This window comes from Homo sapiens, chromosome 10 (genome assembly GCF_000001405.40).
Source record: "Homo sapiens chromosome 10, GRCh38.p14 Primary Assembly".
In the NCBI taxonomy this organism is placed as follows: Eukaryota; Metazoa; Chordata; class Mammalia; order Primates; family Hominidae; genus Homo; species Homo sapiens.
This window is the reverse complement of record NC_000010.11, coordinates 29,396,875-29,411,665: the sequence shown is the minus strand read 5'-3', so window position 1 is coordinate 29,411,665 and position 14,791 is coordinate 29,396,875. Positions and strand designations below refer to the sequence as shown.

The window sequence follows — 14,791 nt, the reverse complement described above, 5'->3', positions numbered from 1 at the left end:
TAACCACCCTAACTTGTCACCCATGCAATAAATTTACATAAAGTGCTAACCAATTTCAACCCAATTTCATGTATTGGGTTGAACTACAAGAAATGACAACCAACCATTCGTGACTTCAAAAATGCCAATTTCATATGCCTGAACTTACATGAGAACCAACATGTCAAGGAAAAAAAAGAGAAATGAAAAAGAAAGATCACAAGATTATAAAATTCCTATTAAGGCAATTTTTATTATATTAACTTTTTAACCCTCAAATATGTACATGCAATAACAGATGATCAGGTAAATAATTTTATTCATCCCTTTTATACACACACACAAATCATACTGGTTTGCTTACCCATAGTGTTTCATTATTCTATTCCTTGGTATGTGCAAACCCCTCTGACTACAGTAGACATAGAGTACATTAAGTGAGGAATACTGGAAAAATGTATTGTCAAACTTTAAAAATACAAAAAAAATTCAGAATATATTACATAGTAAGCTTTAAAATCCTGAAGTAGCTAAAAAAGTAGGACTTTGTAATCTTATTTATTTATTTATTATACTTTAAGTTCTGGGATACATGTGCAGAATGTGCAGGTTTGTAATTTTAAAAGTTACCTGAGGAAAGCTTTCATTCTACTTTGTATAAGGATACTTCCATTTATAAAATTTTACATGAATAACAAGTTATTTGAAAGATATGTATCAGCCAACCGCGGTGGCTCACGCCTGTAATCCCAGCACTTTGGGAGGCCGAGGCGGGTGGATCACTTGAGGTCAGGAGTTTGAGACCAGCCTGGCCAACATGGTGAAACCCCGTCTCTACTAAAGTACAAAAATTAGCCGGGTGTGGTGACACACACCTGAAATCCCTGCTACTCAGGAGGCTGAGGCAGGAGAATCGCTTGAACCCGGGAGGCGGAGATTGCACTGAGCTGAGATCTCGCCACTGCACTCCAGCCTCGGCAACAGAGCGAGACTCCGTCACAAAAAAAAAAAAAAAAAAAAAAAAAAAATATGTGTATCAGAAGGTATAGCTAAAATATGAAACTGATTACAGCCCCTGGAGTGTAAATGTGGTTTAAGGATTAGGACGGCCTTGAACATAACCTACTCATAATCAGATGGCAAGAATGACTTCACCTGAACTCTGTTCCAAGACCTCGATGAAATCACAACCCTCTAGCAACATCCACCTAGATCCATGTCTTACCTTATACTCAACTCCATTGTCAATATTATTTTCCCCAAGAAGAAAAATAAAAAATGAAAAGACACAACACTAATCTTTTGTCTCCACAGGATGTGGCAAAATGAGAAATAACAATTACACGTTATTTTCAAAGGTGGTCCGACTGCTTCAGCCGTGGACCACTTACACTAAAGAGAAAATTTCCAGCACTTCACAAGATCCAGCTGTTCTTTCACAGACGACTAATAAAAAAGTAAAAGAAGCGACATTAAGCTGCGCCCAAACAGGCCAGGAATGGGTCCTAAGGCATCACGAAACTTCCCGAGGACATTATGTATTTAGAGAAGGCCCCACAGAAACCCTCAAGCGGGAAAGTTACGTCTTCTGGGTCTCGGGGTGGCAGGCAGCCTGAACCCCGAGGGGCTCGAGGCGAGGCGCCCCCGGCCGGATTCGGGCCCAAACCAGCCCGCCACGCCCTGAGCTCCGCGCAGCAAACCGGCCGGCCGAGCGGCGGCCCTCGGAATGGTGTTTTCTCGGCGCCACAGGAGGGAGAGCGACCCAGAGAACTTGGGCGTGGCAGAGGCCGGGAACAGGCAGGCGCGGGTGGGGAGAGGAAAGCAAACGTCGCGGGAGAGCGCGGCCCAGAGGCCGAGGAGGGCGCGGGCGGAGCCGGCCCGAGCCCGGCCGCCATCGTGGACACTTGCAGCGGTTGACAGTTCCCACCGCGGCCCAAGAGACAGCGGCTACGGAGGCAGAAAGAGCCCAGCCACCCTCATCACAGCCCGCACGCCCGCCTCACCTGGACTTGCCCACCCCACTCTCACCGATGATGAGGCTCTTCAGGGTGCAACACGTCCTCGTCCATCCTAACCCCGCTGCACTCCGAGCCCAGCTGGCCGCCCGGGTGCGCCTCTCAGCTATTCAGCAGCGGGAGCTGCCGCGCATGTGCGCGCTCCAAGGCCGCGCACTCCCAGAATTCCCCCGCGTCTTTCCGGAGGGCGAGTTCCTTATGTGTCTTTGCTGACACGGTGGGCTCTGAATCCGCCCCGACCTCAACCCAGCTCTCTTTCTGTCTTGTCAGTGGGAGAGGACTGAGTCAGGAGAATATCAAGCTGTTTTATTTCAGCAAATGCTCATAACAGCTGTATTGCTGTGCGAAAAGCGCTGTGCTTTAATCCTGTTACCTTAAATTTAGGTCGAACTCTACCTTGTCACACTGCTCAGCCTTCTGAGCCTTTCTCCATCTCAGACAGAGACACGAAGGCTTCTTAGAACAACTGCTTCTTATTGTTATGAAGGTTAAATGAGTTACTTTGGGAAGGCAGATTGTTAACCACAGTGCTCTATAAAAGGTGTGATCAGGTATTAACTTGCTGGCTTCCCCTCTGTTAGAGTGGGGAGCACCCTTTACATGTTAATTCATCTTGAAAGGGAGGTGTAGACTTCAGGTAGGTCAGGTGCATATAAACTTCTTGTGGTGCAACCTCAGACCAACTCTTCCTCCTCGTAAGAACTGCTGCACTCCAACTGCAGGAGGTGTATGTCTACACCTTGCCTCTTGCATTAAGTTGTAAATATTAGTGAAGGTACCAAACCTCATTCATTAAACTTAGCACAGTGCCTGGTACATGGCAGGCACTCAATGAACACCCGTAATCTTGTCTTATCTCCTTATACCTGCAGTTAATGTCATATACAATAGATATTTGATTAAAGAATACATACACATAAAGCTTAGCTGGGTGCTGTGGCTCATGCCTGTAATCCCAGCACTTTTGGAGGCCTAAGCAGGTGGATTATTTGAGCTCAGAAGTTCGAGACCAGCCTGGCTAACATGTGAAACCCCGTCTCTATTAAAAATACAAAAATTAGCTGGGTGTGGTGGCGCACACCTGTAATCCTAGCTACTCAAGAGGTGGAGGCAGGAGAATTGCTGGAATCTTAAGAGGTGGAAGTTGCAGTGAGCAGAGATTGTACCACTGCACTCCAGCCTGGGCGACAGAGTGAGAGATACCGTGTCTCAAAAACAAAAAATAAAACGTAGAATAAGTTAGGAAATTATTTGTTAAATATCTGGAAAAGCTCTTTTACCAGATATCCAAATGGCTTCTTTGCCTACTTCAGATCTTTGCTCAAATGTTGCCTTCTTAAGGAGGCCTTCCCTGCACATCCTACTGAAAATATGCAGATTCCTCCAGCATCTCCGAGGAATCCAAAAGCCTGGCATACTGGCAAAAGGTAAGAATTTCTTACCAGACTTCTGGCCTCTCTCTTTCTCTGTGCAAATTAGTTGAATGAATAGTAAAAATCACTGTTTATCTCCTCTGTAAAGTTTTAGTTAATGAGATGAAGGATTCGTGAGGCTAATCTTAAGCTGTAGAGAATCTAGTGTGCTTTGTGTGTCTTTCTGTGTTCTATAATGGATAAGGGTAACTTAGGATAGAACACAGGCTTAGGATACCTGTAAGCCTGCTTTTTAAGATGGCCCAGCAAGCTGGTCAGTTACAAACTTTGCTGCAGGTCTCTAAAAAAAAACTGGATGAGTTTTCCCTCTTGTCTTGTATGTCCTTGGGAGCTTGATCTTGTAACCATGCTGCCATGCTTTTTCTTTTCACAATGCAGCCCAGGTTCAGGGTACAATTCCTGGCTTGGAAAATGAGTCCTTTTATCTTCTGTCTGTCTATGTATTTAAATGTATTATGTGAGTTATGTTTACATATGAAAGAGCTTTAATTAGTCAATATTTTCACACATAGAATTATGTTCACAAAGTTAATTTTTACAAACCTTCCATAACTTGTTTAAACCTTTAGCTTTATTTTATTTAATTTTAAACAATCCTTTAACCCTCTAAACTAGGCAAAAATTTACATTCCCATGCCTTCTTATAAACTCTTTCCAAAAACACATTTCCTTCTCCTCACACACCTTGCATGTAAGCCTATTTTTTAAGTAGTCTCAATTACATGTTATAATGGTAATTCTTAGCGACTGTCACTTTTGGTGCATAAATTTTCTTTTATAAATCTTTTCACAGCATACACAGACCATCTACAACATGTTTGGACTTTCTGACTTGTCGTAAGCATCCCTATTTTTAAACAACCAGTTATTTTACTTTAGGACAAGAATTTACCATAAAAGATCCTTTCTTATATAAAATCTCTTTTCTTTATAACCTCCTTTGAATAGCTAGGGGGCATGGCTAATTCCATATATCCCCAGGCCTTATTTAGAATTTAATGTCTCTAAAAGAAATTGAACAATTTTTTTTTTTTTTGAGACGGAGTCTCGCTCTGTCGCCCGGACTGGAGTGCAGTGGCGGGATCTTGGCTCACTGCAAGCTCCACCTCTCGGGTAAATTGAACAATTTTTAAAAGTCAAAGAAGCAGTTTATGACCTTAAAGCATTTAGCAAACTTAATATCTGACCTGCATAGTTTAGACCAAATGTTTGTATTTTTAAAGATATTTTTATTTTACCAATAATCTTCAAAACTGTCTTTATTTCCAAGAGATTACTTAAGTCACATGAACTAAAAGGCATTACACTTTTTACTTTCTAATAAAATATTTGATTTAAGCACTTATTATTTTTAAACTAATTATAATATGTCTAAGTATATGTTGTCAATCATAATTATGGTTATTAAGTTATTGTACACCACAGAAATAACCAAATTTCCCTGTATAAATGTGCTAACATAAGTAGAACAAAAAAATTAATTAAATACTAAGAAAATACTTTGCCAAATTTTCATGTTAAACCAGGCGATACGGAAATTGTTTACATGTACAATTTGAACTCCATGGTCCAAGTCAAATTATCTGTAATAACCCATTAGTTGTTGGTGCTATGCACCTAAATTGGAGAAACAACTGGTATTCAAGAGGACATAAAGTCCCATGTTAAGCATAGACTCATGGAGAACCAGGACAGCCACTTGGCCCTTCCTGAGTCCTTAAATGTGTTGTTATTAAAGGTTCTGCATTCCATGACTCATCATGGAACAGATAAAACAATCCAAATTGAATATATTGATGTGATGACTTATAAATTGTGAAAATAGTTTAAAACCAGTGTTTGGTTCCATATTCCTGGGAAGACAATCAAACCTTTACGTACATTTGGCTACCTGATGGGTCATTTAAACATAAAGAGATTTCATTCGATTGTTAGTTTCAATGCATGTCTTATGTTATAACAGTTAATTATCATCCCACAGTATATTTTCACCAGGTAAAGAAAGCTTTTTATGGTTCGCTGGGGACAATCAACCCCTTCACAATCTAGAACCTGAAGATTGGATATTCTCAGAACATCAGAGAAAGACTGTCCTTGCCATTCACACTGCAACAAAACTTTGGAAACTTGAACCTTGGGTTCATAAACTCACAACTGAGAAAGGTCCCTCCACACCCTTGGAACTGTACACCCATTAGAACCCTCAAGGTAAAACTAAACAGGAAAGTTTCTCCAGAAAAGAAGATGACATCCTTGATGTAAACAGGTTTTCCCAAGATCACAGATCAAGACTTCTACTATCATGAGATTCTTTTTTTATTTTTATGTTTTGAGACAGAGTTTCACTCTTGTTGCCCAGGCTGGAGTGCAATGGTGCCATCTGGGCTCACTGCAACCTCCACCTCCTCGGTCCAAGCAATTCTCCTGCCTCAGCCTCCCGAGTAGCTGGGATTACAGGCATGTACCACCACACCTGGCTAATTTTGTATTTTTAGTAGAGATAGGGTTTTGCCATGTTGGTCAGGCTGGTCTCAAACTCCCGACCTCAGGTGATCCGCCCACCTCAGCCTCCCAAAGTGCTGGGATTACAGGCATCAGCCACCGTGCCTGGCCTATCATGAGACTCTTATATCTTTGAATATTTTTTCCTTGTTTATGCCTCTATGAACAATAGAAATAAAAAGGGGGTCTATTATGTGCACTTATAGGGTGCACTTTTATTTGTGAAGGATTTTTTTAGCCAGCTTTCTACATAAATAACCTTATATGGTGATAGATAAAAGATAAAGTTCCAATGTAGGTGAGAAACTTTAATGGTACATTCATTGCCTCATAATTAGTCAAAAGTCCTCTTAATTCTCATCATGGGTTAAAGAGAACATTGCCAGAAGACCTTCACTCTTACAGAAGGACATCATTTGTTAGGTTCTTCTTCCATGGTTTAGAATAAAAGAGGCAATAATTAGAAATGTATCCCTTATGATAGGCTGTATAGTAGATTCTAAGTAAAGGCTATGTTTACACAACAGACTTTAAATTTTCTTGTGAAAGTTATGCTAAATAATAGAATTGGCTAAACAGAAAGGTACTTGTGCAGCTGCTGGCACTTTTGGCCTATGGAGAAATACATCAAATATAGATTATAAAAATTCAGTTGTAGGGGATTAATAAAAAGACCCCTTAAGCAAGCAGACTCTTCATCTAGCTTATTCTTTAATCTATTTAATTTTATGTGGTTTGGTTTATGGGGACCCTGGGTAAGGAGCATACTCCAAATTCTTGGTATTATGCTCCCAGTAGTTATAATAATAGTTTTCCTGATGTGCTATGTTCTCTCAAAGGTTTTAAATATTTGCATGCAGCCATCTCTAGAAAGTCAAATGGTATCTCTTCAACTGGAATGACAAGAGATGAAAGAAATGTGCAACCATGAGGATATTGTAACCTACGAATGATGTGCTGAGACCGGAAACCCAAAATGATGGTAACAGAGAGGGGTGCTGAGGCCCTAAGTTTTGGTCATACTCTCACCTAAGTGAGAACCTGACCAAAAAGGGGGAATTTTTTAAAACAAAATTATGAGAGGCCATTGTTTTGGACTAAGCTCATGCCCTAGGCCCCAATAGGCCAAACCAAACTAAAAAGGAGTAACTTGTGCTAAATGTGACATAATGAAACTAAGACTTTAAGGAAACATATAGATCCTAGAACAGACCAGGTTTTGTTTTTCTCCTGTAAACAGGACGTTCCAGCATAAAGAGGTACCCTCTACTCATTCCTCATTCCCTCCTTCCAAAACCCACTGTTCTACTGTTTCCCAGTGGGCTTCAACACCAAATAAGTACATTTACAAAGGTGATGGTGACATCAGTAACTACAGTTTTGGTCAATCTCTCAAAATTGAGAAAATGACCAAAAGGGAGGAATTGTTAAAGTGAATTAAATATGTCCTTAGAAGGACCCCACACTTCTATATTTGAGTCCTTGTGGATGAACTGCAACCTAGCTTAATAGGTAGACAGGATTCAAAACGTAACTTAGGAATATGTGCCTATAATAATAGCTGAGCCTTGGTCAATCCCAGTGGCCATACTTCAACAATTCATACACTGCTGAAGGTTCAAACTGTGTTCAAATAAGGCAAATGCCAAGCCGTAACCAATCCAGCTGTTCTGTACCTCACTTCCAATTTCCGTACGTTGTTTCCCTTTTTTTTGTCTATAAATCTTCTTCCACCACGTGGCTATGCTGGAGTCTCTGTGAATCTGCTGTGATTCTGGGGGCTGCCCGTTTCACGAATCATTCACTGCTCAATTAAACTCCTTTAAATTTAATTTGGCTGAAGTTTTTATTTTACCAGGTGGGAGGATCACTTGAACTCAGGAGTTTGAGACCAGCCTGGGCAACATAGCAAAACCCTGTCTCTACCAAAAAAATACAAAAATTAGCCAGGTGTGGTGGTGCAGGCCTATCATCCAAGCTACTCAGGAGACTGAGGTGGGAGGTTGGCTTGAGCCCAGGAGATCAAGGCTGCAGTGAGCCATGATTGCACCACAACATTCCAGCCTGGGCAAAAAAGGAGATCCTCTCTCAAAAAAAAAAGAGAATATTTAATTTTATTTAATAAAATACTCTTAAATAGTTTATTCTTTGTGATGCTACTATAAATGGGAGTTGCTGTTTAAGAGACTTTTGTTTTTAGAACAGTGTTAGATTTGCAGCAAAATTGAGCAGAAGGTATATAGATTTTCCATATGCCCTTATCCCCATGCACTCCCAGCTTCCTCTGTTGTCAACATCCTGGACCAGAGTGGCACATTTGTTACAATCAATGAGTCCATGTTGACACAGCATTTTCACCCAAAGCCCACAGCATACATTAGGGTTTATTGTTGGTGCTGTATATTCTATTGGCAAATATATAATGATATGTTTCCATCATTATAATTTCACACAGAGTATTTTCATTCACCTAAAAAATCTTCTGTGCTCCACTGATTCTTGCCTCCTCCCACCCTCAACCCTTGGCAACCACGGATTTTTTTACTGCCTCCATAGTTCTGCCTTTTCCACAGTGTCATATATTTGAAATCATACAGCATGGAGGCTTTTCATAATTGGTGTCTTTGTCTTACTAATATGCATTTCGAGTTCCTTTGTATTTTTTCATAGCTCTATTTTTAGTGCTAAATAATATTCCAGTGTGTGGATATACCACAGCTTATCTGCTCACCTACTGACAGCATCTTGGTTTCTTCCAAGTTTTGGCAATTATAAATAAAACTGCCACAAACATCTGTGTACAGGTATTTTTGTGGACATAAGTTTTCAATATATTTAAGTAAATAGCAAGAGTGTAATTCTGGTTCATATGATAATAGTGTGTTTAGTTTTGTAAGAAGCTGCCAAGCTGTCTTCTGAAATGGCTGTACCATTTTGCATTCCTTCCAGCAATGAATGAGAGTTCTTGTTGCTCCACAGCCTCTCCAGCATTTGATGCTCTCAGTGTTTTGGATTTTCATAATTCGAATAGGTGTGTAGTGGTATCTCATTGTCTTTTTAATTTGTAATCCTCTAATGACATATGATGTTGAGCATTTTTTCATATGCTTACTTGCCATCTGTACATCTTCTCTGGTAAGGTGTCTGTTCAGATATTTTCACCCACAAGTCAAGAATTATTTGTGTAAGAACTCTTTGTGTGTATGTATGTGTATATATGTATATATACACTATATATATATATTTTTTTTTTGAGACAAGGTCTTGCTTTGTCACTAAGGCTTGGGTGCAGTGGCATGAACATAGCTCATGCAGCCTCGACCTCCCAGGCTCAAGTGATCCTCCCAACTCAGCCTCTCAAGTAGCTGGGACCACAGGTGCACACTGACATGCTGGGCTAATTTTTTGTATTTTTTGTACCAACAGGGTTTCACCATATTGCACAGGATGGTTTCGAACTTCTGAACCCAAGCAATCCACCCTCCTTGGCATCCCAAAGTGTTGGGATTACAGAGGTGAGCCACCTCACCCAGCATGTATACTTTGGATAACAGTTCTTTACCAGATGTGTGTTTTGCAAATATATTCTCCCAGTTTGTGGCTTGTATTTTTATTCTATTGACATTGTCTTTAACAGAACAGACATTTTTAATTTTAAAGAAGTCCATCTTATAAATTATTTTCTTCATGAATTATGCCTTGATGTAGTATCCAAAAAGTCACCACCTACCCAAGATCAACTAGGTTTTCTCTTATGTTAATTTCTAAGAGTTTTATAGTTTTGCATTGTACACTTAGGTCTGTGATTCATTTGTAGTTAATACTTATGAAGGGCATGAGATCTGTGTCTGGATCTATCTTTTTGCATGTGGATATCCAGTTCTTCCAGCACCATTTGTTGAAAATACTATCTTTTCTTCATTATATTGCCTTTACTCTGTTGCCAAAGATGAGTTGACTATATTTATGTGGGTCTGTTTGGGGCTCTTTATTTTGTTTTGATTGGTCTACTTGTCCATTCTTTCACCAATATGATGCAATTTTGATTGCTGTAGCTTTACAGTAAATCTCAAAGTCAGGTAATGACGGTCCTCTAACTTTGTTTTTTTCTTTAATATTGTGTTGGCTATTCTGGGTCTTTTGCCTCTCCATATAAAGTTTAGAATCAGTTTGTCTATAATCACAATATAACTTGCTGAGATTCTGATTGGGATTCCATTGAGTCTGTAGATCAATTTGGGAAGAAATGACATCTTGACAATATTGAGTCTTCTTATCCATGAACATGTGTTATCTCTTTATTTATTTAGTTCTTCTCTGACATCTTTCATCAGAGTTTTGTAGTTTCCCTCATATAGGTCTTATACATATTTTCTATTAGGTTTATACCTACGTATCTCATTTTTTGTATGCTGAATGGTATTGTGTTTTTAATTTTAAATTCCACTTGTTTATTGCTATTGTACAGAAAAGCAATTGACTTTTGTATATTAACCTTGTAGCCTGCACCCTTACTATAGTTCCTTGTTAGTTCCAGGAGATTTTTAAAAATTATTTTTATTTTAGATTTTCTGCATAGATAATCATGTTATTTGCAAATAAAGATAGTCTTGTTTCTTTCTGCCCAATCTGTACACATTTTGTTTCATTTTCTTGTCTTATTGCATTAGCTAGGACTTCCAATAAGATGTTGAAAAGGAGTGATGAGGGGGACGTCCTTGCCTTTTTCCTGATGGAATTGTCTTTTAAATTTAATTTTTGAATTGTTCACTGCAAATGTATGGAAACAATTGATTTTTGTATATTGATCTGATATCCTGAGCATTCCATTTTTTACATGTAGTCTTCATATTTCTTCTTCTTTTTTTTTTTTTTTTTTTTTTGTGAGACAGAGCATCACTCTATCACCCAGGCTGGAGTGCAGTGGTGCAATCTCAGCTCACTGCAACCTTGACATCCTGGGTTCAAGTGATCATCCCACTTCAGCTTCCCAAGTAGCTGGGACTACAGACATGCACTGCTATGCCCAGTTAATTTTTAAAATTTTTTTGTGGAGACAGGGTTTGCCATGTTGCTCAGGCTGGTCTTGAACCCCTGGGCTCATGTGATCTGTCCACCTCGGCCTCCCAAAGTGTTATGATTACAGGCATGAACCACTATGCCCAGCTCCCCCTGTATTGTTATAGCATAATTTTTGTTTCATATTAATGTACTGATGTCTTCATGAAGTCTTCTAAAACTTAATAAATAAATGCTGCTCACTGGTAAGCCAAGTAGTAATGTCCTCTGATGATATCTGGTTAAACTACTTGACATGGTCAGTATCCATCTATTTTGACTTAGGAAGATGACAGTTTCATGTAGTTCAGCCTAACCTTTGGTATAAGTTTTGTTTTTCTTAACGTTAATAACTGATTCTTTTTTTTTTTTTTTTTGGCATGTGTTTCTTTGATGCTGAAACTTTTTAAACCTTTTAAAGACCTTTTCTAAGTTCCTGAGGGCCAGTTCTAATATCACAGTTAGAAGCCTGGAAAAAGTTCCCAGGCAGACTGTGGAGGAAGGCCCAGAGAACTGAGCCTGCCAGTTGGATCTGCTCTACCCAGCCTGATTCTCGGCAGGATCTGGAGGAGACTTGTATACCAAGATACTGAGGAGTGAGTTTTTGGGAGCTCCGGTACTGTTGAGAAGCTCAGAGTGGGGGACTGTTCCCTGGGTGCCAGAGCTGATGGGAGGAGATGCTGTTATAGAACTGGGGCCTCTAGCAGCAAGATGAGTGAAAGGATCCTTGAAAAGGAGAGGTCACCTGCAGTGCTGAACCATCAGATGCAAGTGACCTTAATGGGCAGAAAGGTTGAAAAGGTATCCAGGGAGTCTTGAACAGCAAAGGTCTATGGAGACAGCAGAAGAAAATGATATTCATAGGAGCAAGAGAGATGGGTAGCCAATGAGAGTATGGAATAAATGTATTATAATGTGTGTTATATTGATCTTAAAGAAGGTAAAGCATGGATGAGCAGAAGGATGAGGTCAGTTACCCCAGATGGAAAGTCATGATCCCTTGCTTTCTTTCCAGACCTAAGCCAGTTCTTACACCTAGAACCCATCAATTGAAGGAAAGGCTGGGTCCCTGTGGGGAAATACCTGCCATCCCATGGCAGATGTAGAAAGAGGTAATTTCCCCGGACTTTCCCCAAAGATGTCTATAGCCATGTACTCAGATCACCATGCAATGGGGAAAGAGGAATGTCCAAATTTCTCTAATGCTATTAGAATATCAAGATTGACACTCAAAGTGATAAAGGCCTTCCTGTTCGATTAGGGATATATGGGAACTATGTGATCAATAAAGTTCTGGCTCAGGTCCGTGGACCTACCTGTGGGTCACTTTGCGAGTTCCTGAATGTATAATTGGAATGGACATAATTACCATTCAGTGGAACTGTCATGTGGTCTCTTGATTGGTAAAGTAAGAACATAATGTTATAGTAGGAATGGTCCAGTGGATGGCGCTGAAACCACCCTCTCACCCAGGCCAAGACATTAAATCAAAACCAATATCACACTATATTGATGACATCACATTAATCAGACGGATGAGAAAGAAGTAGCAAGAATAAGGCATTCTGGCAAGGTGAGGTGGCTCACCCCTGTAGTCCCAGCTACTTGGGAGGCTGAGGCGGGAGAATCACTTGAGCCCAGGAGTTCAAGGTTGCATTGAGCTATGATTGCGCCACTGCACTACAGCCTGGGTGACAGAACAAGACCTTGTCACTAAAAAATAATATAAAAATTTAAAAAGCACACCTGTAATCCCAGCACTTTGGGAGGCTGAGGCAGGCAGATCACGAGGTAAGGAGATCGAGACCATCCTGGCTAACACAGTGAAACCCCCATCTCTACTAAAAATACAAAAAATTAGTCGGGCCTGGTGGCGGGTGCCTGTAGTCCCAGCTACTTGGGAGGCTGAGGCAGGAGAATGGCCTGAACCTGGGAGGCGGAGCTTGCAGTGAGCCAAGATCACACCACTGCACTCCACCCTGGGCAACAGAGTAAGACTCTGTCTCAAACAAACAAAGAAAAAAAAGAATTAGGCACTCTGATGCACCGTTCCTCAGCTGTACTTGGGTGGTCTGTTCCCAAAGAAGAAGGGCAGCTGGGATTAGGAGATGACCAGCAATCATCGCTTCACCACGTCAGTTCTGACTTATGTTGGTAACCCCTTTTAACCTGGACATAATTCTAGCACTTAGCTATTGAATTCAATTCTGCAGGCAGTTACTGAGAGGCTACTGCCTGCTAAGCCCAGTGCTAGGTGCTATGGCTGTCTGCAAGGCTGTTTGAAACACTCAGAGCACAGAAGGAGGACGGGTGTCTGCGCTTCCAAGCACTGGGATGCAGCCTCTTTTCTCAATAAGAGGGGCTTGGGCAGTGGAGAAAAAAGTATGTCAGCAAAAGAATAAGGCTGTACTTTAATTTTTTTTTCTTTTTAGATTTTTGATTCCTTGTTTCTTAATGCCTTCTCCTTCCATATTGACTTGGACACCCACCTGGTGTCCACCTAATCACTGACTTTACTGCCTTTGTCCCTCCCTTGTCCTCCCCTCATCCCTCTTGTTGCAATTGTAGGGTCGATGACCTTGTTGGCTGGGACAGACTCAGGAATAAGTGATTAGGGATGATTTTTTTTTTTAAATAAAGACAAGGTCTCGCTCTGCCACCCAGGCTGGAGTGCAGCGACATGATCATAGCTCAATGAAGCTTCAAACTCCTGGGCTCAAGGCATTCTCTTGCCTCAGCCTCCTGAGTAGCTGGGATTGTATAAGTAAGCCACCGTGCCAGGCCTGTCATTTTTTTCAACGTCCATTTCCCAATTTTTCAGCACCTATTAAAATGATCATGCGAAAGTGTTAGAGGTTAAGATGTCACCACACTATGAGGGCACATGAGCCTTTGGTGGCCTCCAGGACACAGATGACAAACAGTGAACAAAAATCCATCAGTGGAGGAGGGGAACAGACAGTGCCCTGAGTCCCCAAATGGGGATTTACGTTTGCTGATGTCTGTCTGTCTGTATACATGCATAGATATGTGTGTATCTGTGTGTGTATTCATATATACATAACTCCTTTTATAACAAGTATCCTTTGATTAAAAGTAATAAATCTCCCTTGGCTGAAGTGACAGGTATTATTATTTTGCTTTTGGCAACCCATAAAAGAAAAACCAAATCCACAAGATGTGCAGGGGAGGAACAGGTTAAATACTAAGTGCTGGGTCTAATCCTTCAGCAGCCAGGCAGGATTAGGGGCTGAGGCTTGTACTGCTGAGGAGAGACAGCAGAAGGCTGCATGGTAAGTGTCACGTCTTCTAATGAGTTGAAAGCAGCATGAAGGAGCCTTTTTTATCCTCTGGATCTAAGAGGTTGCCGTATCTTCTTAAGTGTCAATTTGTTAATATTTGAAGAGAAAACCAGAAAAGTTTTACTGATTCCTGCTTTCTCCTATGCTTTCTTTTGAGGAGGTCGCTCGTTTAGAAGCGCTTGGCCTGGGTGGGCATCCCTATGAGCTGGAGGGGCCCAGGCTGCAGAGGCTCTCATGGGAGTGCTGTGGCTGGAAGTGGGTTGTTGGAGCAACTTGAACCCGAAGTTGAGTTCATTCATTATCCCAGGAAAGCATCATCAATTAGAAAGGGAACATGTGAAACTGTCAAGACCAGCCTGCTTTCAAGGTGTCAACTGATCATGTAGACAATGGTCTTATTAGGAAAAGCAAAGACCTCTGTAAGGAACAATAAGCAAGGGCAGGAGTGTGGGTCTTGGGCACCAGGACCAGCCTGCCCAGCAGCTCATACCTCCGCAGGCTC

At 40.9% G+C, this 14,791-nt stretch overlaps 2 long non-coding RNA genes across 12 annotated transcripts in view, besides 1 other annotated feature; one reads left to right on the top strand and one right to left on the bottom strand.

Moving 5' to 3' along the window:
* SVIL-AS1 (SVIL antisense RNA 1) overlaps positions 1-2,132 on the bottom strand; it is a 78,323-nt gene extending 76,191 nt beyond the window's left edge. For 6 of the 11 annotated variants that reach the window (NR_110927.1, NR_110922.1, NR_110926.1 and 3 more), the window contains exon 1: positions 2,008-2,132. This is a non-coding gene — a long non-coding RNA (SVIL antisense RNA 1). Of the gene's footprint in view, positions 1-1,204; positions 1,424-1,982 lie in introns of those variants that run through there. The other 5 variants (NR_110920.1, NR_110921.1, NR_110925.1 and 2 more) reach the window with 2 other exon arrangements.
* Positions 1,611-1,750: a silencer, noted in NCBI's record as "silent region_2259". NCBI's record gives its function as "represses an Ori minimal core promoter by ATAC-STARR-seq in GM12878 lymphoblastoid cells {active_cell/tissue: GM12878}" and the evidence as "EXISTENCE:reporter gene assay evidence [ECO:0000049][PMID:35858748]".
* Positions 2,133-2,212: 80 nt separating the features above from the next.
* On the top strand, positions 2,213-5,775 carry LOC105376474 (uncharacterized). Its single transcript, XR_930787.3, has 3 exons — positions 2,213-3,421; positions 4,221-4,264; positions 5,409-5,775. It is a non-coding gene; the product is annotated as an uncharacterized LOC105376474 (long non-coding RNA).
* Positions 5,776-14,791: the final 9,016 nt, after the last annotated feature.